This window comes from Homo sapiens, chromosome 19 (genome assembly GCF_000001405.40).
Source record: "Homo sapiens chromosome 19, GRCh38.p14 Primary Assembly".
Taxonomy (NCBI): domain Eukaryota; kingdom Metazoa; phylum Chordata; class Mammalia; order Primates; family Hominidae; genus Homo; species Homo sapiens.
The window spans coordinates 37,767,297-37,777,781 of record NC_000019.10 but is presented as its reverse complement, the minus strand read 5'-3'; the positions used below and the strand labels follow the sequence as shown (position 1 = coordinate 37,777,781).

Below are 10,485 nucleotides of genomic sequence, written 5' to 3'. Positions count from 1 at the left end.
TTACAAGCATGAGCCACCACGACCGGCTTTTTTTTTTTTTTTTATGACAAAGGCTTGCTCTATGGCCAGGCTGGAGTGCAGTGGCGCAGTCTCGGTTCACTGCAACCTCTGCCTCCTGAGTTCAAGCAATTCCCCTGCCTCAGCCTCCTGAGATCCATTATATCATTATTATGTCTTTGCATCCTCATAGCTTAGCTTCCACTCATAAATGAGAACATGTAATGTTTGGTTTTCCATTCCTGAGTTACTTCACTTAGAATAATGGTCTCCAACTCCATTCAGGTTGCATCCAATGCTGTTATTTCATTCCTTTTTATGGCTGAGTAGTATTCCATAGTGTATATATATGTGTACGTACACCAAATTTTCTTTATCCACTTGTTGATGGGCATTTAGGCTGTTGCCATATTTTTGCAATTGTGCTGCTATAAACGTGTGTGCAAGTGTCTTTTTCATATAATTACTTCTGTCTGGGTGCAGTGGCTCACACCTGTAATCCCAGCATTTTGGGAGGCTGAGGCCAGCAGATCACTTAAGGCCAGGAGTTCGAGACCAGCCTGGCCAACATGGTGAGACTCCTGTCTCTATCACTGAAAAAAAAATAAAATAATTTTATATAATGACTTCTTTTCCTCTGGGTAGATACCCATTAGTGGGATTGCTGGATCAAATGGTAGTTCTACTTTTAGTTTTTTAAGGAATCTTCATACTGTTTGTCATAGTGGTTGTACTAGTTTTTGTTCCCACCAGTAGTGTAGAAGTGTTCTCTCTTCACCACAACCATGGCAACATCTATTATCTTTTGATTTTTTAAAATTATGGTCATTCTTAGGGAGCAAATTGGTATCACATTGTGATTTTTATTGGCATTTTCCTGATCATTAGTGATGTTGAGCATTTTTTCATATGTTTGTTGACCATTTGTATATCTTCTTTTGAGAATTGTCTATTCATATCCTTAGCCTACTTTTTGATGGGATTATTTGTTTTTTTCTTGCTGATTTGTTTGAGTTCCTTGTAGATTCTGGATGTCAGTCCTCTGTTGGATGTACAGTTTGTGAATACTTTTTCCTATCCTGTGGGTTGTCTGTTTACTCTGCTGATTATTTCTTTTGCTGTGCAGAAGCTTTTTAGTTTAATTAAGTCCCATCTATTTATCTTTACTTGTGTTGCATTTGCTTTTGGGTTCTTGGTCATGAACTCTTTGCCTAAGCCAATGTGTAGAAGAGTTTTTCCAATGTTATCTTCTAGAATTTTTATGGTTTCAGGTCTTAGATTTAAGTCTTTGATCCATCTTGAGTTGATTTTTCTCTAAGGTGAGAGATGAAGCTCCAGTTTCATTCTTCTACACGTGGCTTGCCAATTATCCCAGTACCATTTTTTGAATAGTGTGTCTTTTCCCCACTTTATGTTTTTGTTTACTTTGTCGAAGATCAGTTGGCTGTAAGTATTTGGCTTTATTCTGGGTTCTCTATTCTCTTCCATTGGTCTACATGCCTGTTTTTATACCAGTCCCATGCTGTTTTGGTAACGATTGTCTTGTAGTATAGTTTGAAGTCAGGGAATGTTATGTCTCCAGATTTGTTCTTTTTGCTTAGTCTTGCTTTGACCATGCGGGCTCTTTTTTTGTTCCATATGCATTTTAGGATTGTTTTTTCTAATTCTGTGAAGAATGGTGATGGTATTTTGATGGAAATTGCATTGAATTTATAGATCGCTTTTGGCAGTATGGTCATTTTCGCCATACTGATTCTACCTATCCATGAGCGGGGGATGTGCTTCCATCTGTTTGTGTCATCTATGATTTCCTTCAGCAGTGTTTTGTAGTTTTCCTTGTAGAGATCTTTCACCTCCTTGATTAGGTATATTCCTAAGTTTGTTTGTTTTTGTTTTGTTTTGTTTTGTTTTTGTTTTCTTTTGTGGTTTTTTTTTTTTTTTTGCAGCTGTTGTAAAAGAGGTTGAGTTCTTGATTTGATTCTCAGCTTAGCCGATGTTGGTATATAGCAATGCTACTGATTTGTGTACATTAATTTTGTATCTTGAAACTTTACTGAATTTATTTGTCAGATCTAGGGGCTTTTTGGGTAAGTCTTTAGGGTTTTCTAGGTATATGATTATATCATCGGCGAACAGCAAGTTTGACTTCCTCTTAATCAATTTGGATGCCTTTTTTTCTTTCTCTTGTCTGGTTGCTGTGGCTAGGACTAGTCACTACTTTAAAATGCCAATAATTCAGCAAGGGCCATAAGTTGTAAATAGGAACGGGTAAGTCAGTGTATAGTGAAGACCACTAGAGAGATTCAGGTGATGTGCCTTGGGAATTCATGTGGACGTGGCATTGATTAGATTCTGGTCATCATTGTAACTAAGCTCATGGAATCTATATGGAAGTTAGTGAATATATTCTGTAAGCTTTTACTGTCTAATTTTTTCTTCAAGTGATGTTAGATAAAAAGTGAAACTAGGCCAGGCGTGGTAGCTCATGCCTGTAATCCCAACACTTTGGGAGGCCTAGGAGGGAGGATCTCTTGAGCCCAGGAGTTTGAGACCAGCCTAGGTAACATAGTAAGACCCTGTCTCTAAAAAAATTTTTTTAAATTAGCCAGGCATGGTGGTGCACACCTTTAGTCCCAGCCACTCAGGAGGCTGAGGCAGTAGGATTACTTGAACCCAGAAGCCTGAGTTTGCAGTGAGCTATGATCACACCACTGTACTCCAGCCTGGGTGACAGAGCAAGACCCCCTGCCCCTTAAAAAAAAAAAAAAAAAAGAGAGAGAGTTTAGCAGTAGACTGGATGACACTGTGGCTAAGTGGCAAAATAAACCCACCTTTTAATATACAAATTTGTGTGTGAGTGTATGTGTGTGTGTACACATGTATTTTTTAAGTTAATGTATGAACAGTGTTAAAATGATTATGAAATATATTCAAAAAAGAAAATCAAGATAGCAACTAAAAGAAAAGTAATGGTAACATATGATCATGTTGTAATGTAACAGAATAAATAAACTACCAGACTTTCTCAATGTATTGATGTCCTATAGCCTGTGCCTCAATGCTTGTCTGTCTTTTTAACGATCCAATGATATTGTACATTCTGTTTTCTCATCTTAATTTTCCGTTGACAGTATATCTGAAATTTTTAAATTTTATTAAATACGTTTCCCTACTTAGCATCTGATAGCTTCTTGGTATTCTATTACATGTATATTTTGTATTTAGCAAGGCAGTTTGTGCTCAACACAGAACCAGGCCTAAACATTTCCTCCTGTGATGTGTTCTCTCTCATGTTTTGACCAATTTCAACTGATTCTGATGCCATAGAAGAGGTTCTAGTTTGAGGCCAGGCGCGGTAGCACATGCCTGTAATCTGACTAGTTTGGGAGGCCAAGGCGGGTGAATCACCTGAGGCCAGGAGTTCAAGACCAGCCCCGCCAACATAGTGAAACCCCGTCTCTACTAAAAATACAAAAAAAATTAGCTAGGTGTGGTGGTACGCACCTGTAGTCCCAGCTACTTGGGTGGCTGAGACAGGAGAATCGCTTGAACCTGGGTGGCAGAGGTTGCAGCGAGCCAAGATCTCACCACTGCACTCCAGCCTGGGCAACAGAGCGAGTCTCCATCTCAGAAAAAAAAAAAAAAAAAAAAAAAAAAAGAAGCTTCTAGTTTGAACGATAAGTCCTCTCTCAGCCTTGGAAGGTGGGAATGAAGGCAAGTGAATCTTCTCATGGAGAAACTGAGCAGCCTAATCTCAAGTCTAGATCAGCCTTCCCAAATTGGAGCCTTGTCCAGAAAACCTCTTGCTATCTTGTCTGGATCTGGCTTTAGTGAGCCATTGACTTACTCTAAAACTACCTTTGTATAGCTGGGTTTCCTGGGGTGTGAGGGAGTGCTTAGATTCATTGTCTGTTTTTCCCTAAGTTATATGTTCAGTTGTGAGGGATTAATTTGGAAGGAGAAATAGAGGAGCAGAAAGATTTTATTAAATTAAGTCATATTGGGAACACTAACATCTCTTTTCTTCTCTCAGCTCTGGATTCTCTGGAGTTTGAATGTTTCCAGTATTGGAACCCCACCAAGTAGGACTGATCAGGTCTTACAATTCTAAAACCATGACCTGTGTAAGTTGATTAATTCTGTTTCCTTGCAATATCATGATCATAGGTTATGTGGATGTTTTCATTAACCTAAGGCTTCCTATTTAAGAAGGCCTCCTTCAGTTATCTGTCCCCACTTTCTTCTAATATTGTGAATAGTGATAGCAAATAACTCAGTTTTCTCCCTATGAGTATTTTCTGTCCACTTTTATATTTATTGTCAAATGTATTTAGTACTCATGTGCTTATTGTTCAACCAAAGTCTATGATAGAGCAGTAAAGGAGTGAAGTCTCAACAGGGAACTATTTGAGCTTCCTTTATAGGTCCTTAGTTTGGTGAATTAGAGATGTTGGTCCTATTTGGATACCATAGGTAGGCTCTGACATTCTCCGCAGACCTGAGTTTTCTAGGCAAATAAGATGGGATTTGGTTATCAATTGGTCTGTCTTAGTATGTGATGAGATCTCATATTCTTTGAGAATTTTAGAATTGTTGGAGATATACCATGGATCTTGTCAAAGAATTACTGAGAGACAAGTTTTTATTTTGTGGTTGAATGTGTTCTGCTGAACTTGGGTGACATTTTTTTATTATGAGTCATCCTATATCAGTATCCATTCTGGAACAAGAAAAGTATTAAGTGATGGAAAATGGCGATGAATGAGAATATTATCCTAAGGAGTAAATATGTTGATTTCCAGAACTGGGGAAGACCTTTGAAGTTCTGTCCAACAAAGTATATGAAGGTAGGCTAGCTACGGTGGCTCATACCTGTAATCCCAGCACTGTGGGAGGCCAAGGCGGGAGGATCACTTGAGGCCAGGAGTTTGAGACCCCTTGCAAAAAAAGTGAGACACCCATCTCTACAAAAAAAGTACAAAAATCATCTGGGCATGGTGACTTGCCCCTGTAGTCCCAGTTACTCGGGAGGCTATGGCAGGAGGATTGCTTGAGCGTGGGAGGTCAAGGCTGCAGTGAGCAGTGATTGTGTCACTGCACTCCAGCCTGGGCAACAGAGTGAGCCTGTCTCAAAAAAAAAAAAAAGATTTAAAAAATGTACACGAGGTAAAAGATGGATTAACGACGGAGTAAGTCTGAAATATTCATTATAAAATTGTTGCACAGTCAATAAAAAATATATTTGTCAAAATTAAGAAAAATGCTTATGTGCTCTGACATAATGATGTAACTTGAGACTTGTGGAAATGTCTAAATGTTCTGCAAAAGCTTTTTTTTTTAAATATGGAGATTGGCCAGGTGCAGTGGCTCACGCCTGTAATCCCAGCACTTTGGGAGGCTGAGGCAGGCGGATTGCTTGAGCCCAGGAGTTTGAAACCAGCCTGGGCAACATGGTGAAACCCTGTCTCTACAAAAAATACAAAAATTAGCTGGGCAGGTCCTGCACACCTGTAGTACCAACTACTTGAAAGGCTGAGATGGGAAAATCACCTGGGCCTGGGAGGTCAAGGATACAATGAGCCATGTTTGAGTCACTGCACTCCAGCCTGGGCAGGAGTGAGACCCCGTCCCCAAAAAAATAAATAAATAGCACAAAACAATTAAATATTGGAGATTATTAAATTTGGCAAGGACATCTCATTTTTCTAACTTACAGGAAAAATAGTTTAGAAACTCATGTTTATTGGGAATTTATGCATCACATGACTAGCAGACTATGTAGTTGTGTCTTTAATACTTTATTGAATTTTATTTTATCCATTCCTCAGCAGGTCTGAATTATTGTGGTAACCTTCAACATGCAGAAACATTTGTCTGTGGCAATAGGATCCTTTAGGAATAGGATCCTTTAGGAATAGGATCCTGTGGCAATAGGATCCTTTAGGAATATGTAGACACGTTGCTTTAGTCTGCTACCAGTCATTAGCCACATATACTATATCACTCCTTTTCTCTAATGTGCTCTTGTAATCTCCTATCTTTCCTTCTTTAAAATGTTTTTAAAATTTTGTAATGCATGGGTTTGCAGTTTCAGGAATTAGTGACATTCAGGGATGTGGCCATAGACTTCTCTCGGCAGGAGTGGGAATACCTGGACCCTAATCAGAGGGACTTATACAGGGATGTGATGTTGGAGAACTATAGAAACCTGGTATCACTGGGTAAGTTTATTTGCCTCAAGTAATTTAAAATGTGATCTGTGATATGTTACCTTTCAACACAATGAATTTCAAGGCCATATTTCAAGACATAGTTGAATTTCTCCTTCCTGTTCTTAGAGGAATATTTCAGCTCTGCCTGTTTGACAATGGCTGTGCCACTAAGCACCATCATTTTCTTCATCCTTTAGAGATAGTCACATATTCTCCTGCCCCTTATGATTGCCTCCTTTCCTTAATATCCAAGGGGCTGGGTTAAAATTATATATTATTATTATTAAATTATATATTATTAGTCCATGAATAACCATTGCCCAGGAATCCTGGTTTCCCATTGTGCATATTTCCAGAATTCCTATAGATATGCTGTGTCATCATCTGATCCACCTGCAGGGACAAAAGACGCAGATTCATGATTTACTCTGAGTATAAGAAGAACCCCTGTGACATATAGTGCTGGATTAGATGAACAATATTTATTGGAAACTGAAGAGTCCACATTTCATTTCCTGTAGCCAATTTGTATGATTTATTGTTGAAAGTTATAATTCATGAGCTTTGCATTGAGTTTGAATGAAGATTTTATATATCAGTCGGGATGCTTTTTTTCTCTCATACAGAAATAATAAAATAATTATAATTGGTACAGTTGTGCTCATTATGTCCCCAGCCACTCTTTGGAAGGGAGGGGGAATATATATATATATATATATATATATATATATATATATATAAAATAACTTAATCCTGAAAGAACTGTGTGATAGTGTTATTGTTATTATCTTATTTATTTATTTATTTTTTTCGAGACTGGATCTTGCTCTGTTGCTTAGGCTGGAGTGCAATCATAGCTCACTGTAGCCTCAACCTCCTGGGCTCAAGTGATCCTCCTGCCTCAGCCTCCTTAGTAGTTGGGACTGTAGATGCACCACCATGCCTAATTTTTTTTTTTTTTTTTTTTTTTTGTAGAGATGAGGTCTCGCTCTGTTGCCCGGGTTGGTCTCAAACTCCTGGTCTCAAGTGATCCTCCCACCTCGGCCTTCCAAAATGCTGGGATTATAGGCGTGAGCCACCATGCCTAGCCAATAGTAGTATTATTATGTCCAGTTTATTTGCCAAATTGGAATAATGAGTTGAAGTCACATGGCCAAAGTCACAAGGTTGGTAGATTTAAGAGGAATAATTTGTGCCCCAGCCTTCTGGCTCCAGAGAACTTCACAGCTACTTTGGGGTGGTAATATTTGGAAAGAGACATTTTATAAGGTCACAGGTTAAACTTTCTCCTAAGAGACCACGCGTGTATGAGTTTACATTAAAATAAGGTTTTACTGTGCCTGTTTCATTTCTTCAATCATCTCACCCCTCTTTTATTTGAAGTCCTTAGTTCATTGTAAATTTAATCAAAGCTCAAAGGTTTCTGTTACTTTTGTTTTTATTTTTATACCATGTGGCATTTCTTTTCTTATAAGGAGGACATTCCATTTCTAAACCAGTTGTGGTTGATTTACTGGAGCGAGGAAAAGAGCCCTGGATGATTTTGAGGGAAGAAACACAGTTCACAGGTAAGGAAGGCAGGGGACACCATCAGGGCCGGCCACAGCCCATGTGGTAAGAGAAAGGAGACATTTTTGTGTTGTTTGTGAAACCTTCCTCCAAGGCACCCAGACTTGTGGAGCAAAGGCCTACAACCTGGTTGGGAATAAAGATCGTAGCATAAGCTATGGAAGAAGCTTCAACTTTACCCCATTTACCAATCACCTTATTTCTTTTATATTTCAAACCTGTTTTCAGTGATGGGGCTTTCTTTTTTCTTTTCTTTTTTTTTTTTTTTTTTTTTTTCCGAGACAGAGTCTTGCTCTGTCGCCCGGGCCAGAGTGCAGTGGCTTGATCTCCGCTTATTGCAACCTCCACCTCCTGGGTTCAGGTGATTCTCCTGCCTCAGCCTCCCGAGTAGCTGGAATTACAGGCGTGTGCCACCGTGCCCAGCTAATTTTTGTATTTTTAGTAGAGACACGGTTTCACCATGTTGGCCAGGCTGGTCTTGAACTCCTGACCTCGTGATCTGCCTGCCTCAGCCTCCCAAAATGCTGGGATTACAGTTGTGAGCCACTACACCCAGCCTCGTTTTTCTTTAGTGCAATATTTTACCTGTATTTTGGACTCAACTGTTTTTCCAGCTCCCCTTTTGCACACACACACAACACACATATCAATGTAGTGATCATGAGGAAGACATGTAAGGTCCTTATCCTCATGGAAATTTACATTGTACTAAAGAACACATAAAAATAAACAGGTAGGCTGGGCGCAGTGGCTCATGCCTGTAATCCCAACACTTTGAGAGGCCAAGGTGGGTGGCTCAGGAGGTCAGGAGTTCAAGACCAGCCTGGCCGGTCTTGAATGGTGAAACCCCGTCTCTACTTAAAATACAAAAATTAGCCAGGCATGGTGGCAGGTGCCTGTAATCCCAGCTATTTGGGAGGCTGAGGCAGGAGAATCGCTTGAACCCAGGTGGCAGAGGTTGCAGTGAGCCGAGATCACGCCATTGCACTCCAGCCTGAGCGACAGAGTAAGACTCTGTCTCAAAAATAAAATAAAATAGGCCGGGCGCAGCGGCTCACGCCTGTAATCCCAGCACTTTGGGAGGCCGAGATGGGTGGATCACGAGGTCAGGAGATCGAGACCATCCTGGCTAACACGGTGAAACCCCGTCTCTACTAAAAATACAAAAAAATTAACAGGGCATAGTGGCGGGCGCCTGTAGTCCCAGCTACTCAGGAGGCTGAGGCAGGAGAATGGCATGAACCCGGGAGGCGGAGCTTGCCGTGAGCTGAGATTGCGCCACTGCACTCCAGCCTGGGCGACTGAGAGAGACTCCATCTCAAAAAATAAATAAATAAATAAAATAAAATAAGCAGGCAAACAACTACTATTAGGCAGTGGAATAAGCAATGGTAGAAAGTAAGCAGAGGTTAGGCCATTTTGGATGAGATGGCTGGGGACAGCTTCTTTGGGGCAGTAGTATTTGGAAAGAGACATGGTATAAGGTCACAAGCCATGTGTTTATCTGGGGAAGAATATTCCAAGCTGAATAAAGAGCTTAGAAGGCTAAGGAGATGGCTGAAGCATTGGAGGGAAGGAGTATGGATAGTCAAGGGAGGGTAATAGAGAGAGCTATGTGAGTTTGAGGAGCACCAAAGTAGACCAGAATAGAGATCCTAAGAGGAGAGTGACGAGAAATGAGGTCACATTGTTAGGCGTAGTCAGATCACATGAGGTATTGTTGAATTTGAATTTTTGGGAATAAGAAGGATTAGAACCAATGATGTAATTGTTTTCAAGGCATTTTTAAAAACATTAGACAGATTCAGAGAACAACATATAACACATGAGTAGCTTACTGAGTCTTACAAGTTAAACAATCATGTCACCACAGCCGTGTCAGGAGTTAAAACTTAAAAATTTTTTTTTATTTTAATATAATTTTAGAGTTACAGAAAGGTTATAATAATGACATACAAGATTATTTTATACCCTCCAAGCAGTATTTCTAAACAAGGAGAGAGTTTCTAGTTGATTCTGAAGTCCTCCACATGTCTGCAACCAGTCACAATCTCCTTCCTCCTGCTAAGTGTAACCACTATTCTGATTTTAATGGTAATAAGTTCCTTCCTTTTATTTTTTCTCCAATTTCAAGTCTTTTTAAGTTTTCGCAAGTCTCTAAGTTTTGTCTTCATCTTTCTTTGTGTTCTTAACCCCTTATTTGCTGAAGAAACATCTTCCATTCTATTTTTTGCTGATGCCATCCCTGAGATTTGCTTAAATATGTTCTCTGACCCCTCTATATCCTCTAAATAAGTAGAGGGGTCAAGAGGCTTATGTATCTGAGTCCAGAGCTTATACTGCTCACTGCACAACAGCCAGTAAGTCAAGAGGTAAGGTGTTAGGGCAAGGAACTTTATTTCAGAGAGCCAGCAAAGCGAGAAGATGGCAGGCTAATGTCCTAAAGAACCATCTTAAAAGGCATGAATCTCTGCCGGGCATGGTGGCTCACGCCTGTAATCCCAGCACTTTGGGAGGCCGAGGCGGGCAGATCACAAAGTCAGCAGATCGAGACCATCCTGGCTAAAACGGCGAAACCCCGTCTCTACTAAAAAAAAAATACAAAAAATTAGGTGGGCGTGGTGGCGGGCGCCTGTAGTCCCAGCTACTCAGGAGGCTGAGGCAGGAGAAGAGCGTGAACCCGAGAGGCGGAGCTTGCAGTTTGCCG

At 40.1% G+C, this 10,485-nt stretch overlaps 1 protein-coding gene across 5 annotated transcripts in view; it reads left to right on the top strand.

Moving 5' to 3' along the window:
* Positions 1–10,485, top strand: part of ZNF573 (zinc finger protein 573) — a 41,285-nt gene that overhangs the window by 1,805 nt on the left and 28,995 nt on the right. Inside the window, exons 2-5 of one of the 5 annotated variants that reach the window (NM_001172689.2) lie at positions 4,031–4,121; positions 6,086–6,218; positions 7,185–7,375; positions 7,685–7,777. In NM_001172689.2, the coding sequence (NP_001166160.1) occupies positions 7,747–7,777 (31 nt within the window). In that variant the 5' untranslated portion in view covers positions 4,031–4,121; positions 6,086–6,218; positions 7,185–7,375; positions 7,685–7,746. Of the gene's footprint in view, positions 1–4,030; positions 4,122–4,799; positions 4,845–6,085; positions 6,219–7,184; positions 7,376–7,684; positions 7,778–10,485 lie in introns of all 5 variants that reach the window. The other 4 variants (NM_152360.4, NM_001172691.2, NM_001172690.2 and 1 more) reach the window with 4 other exon arrangements.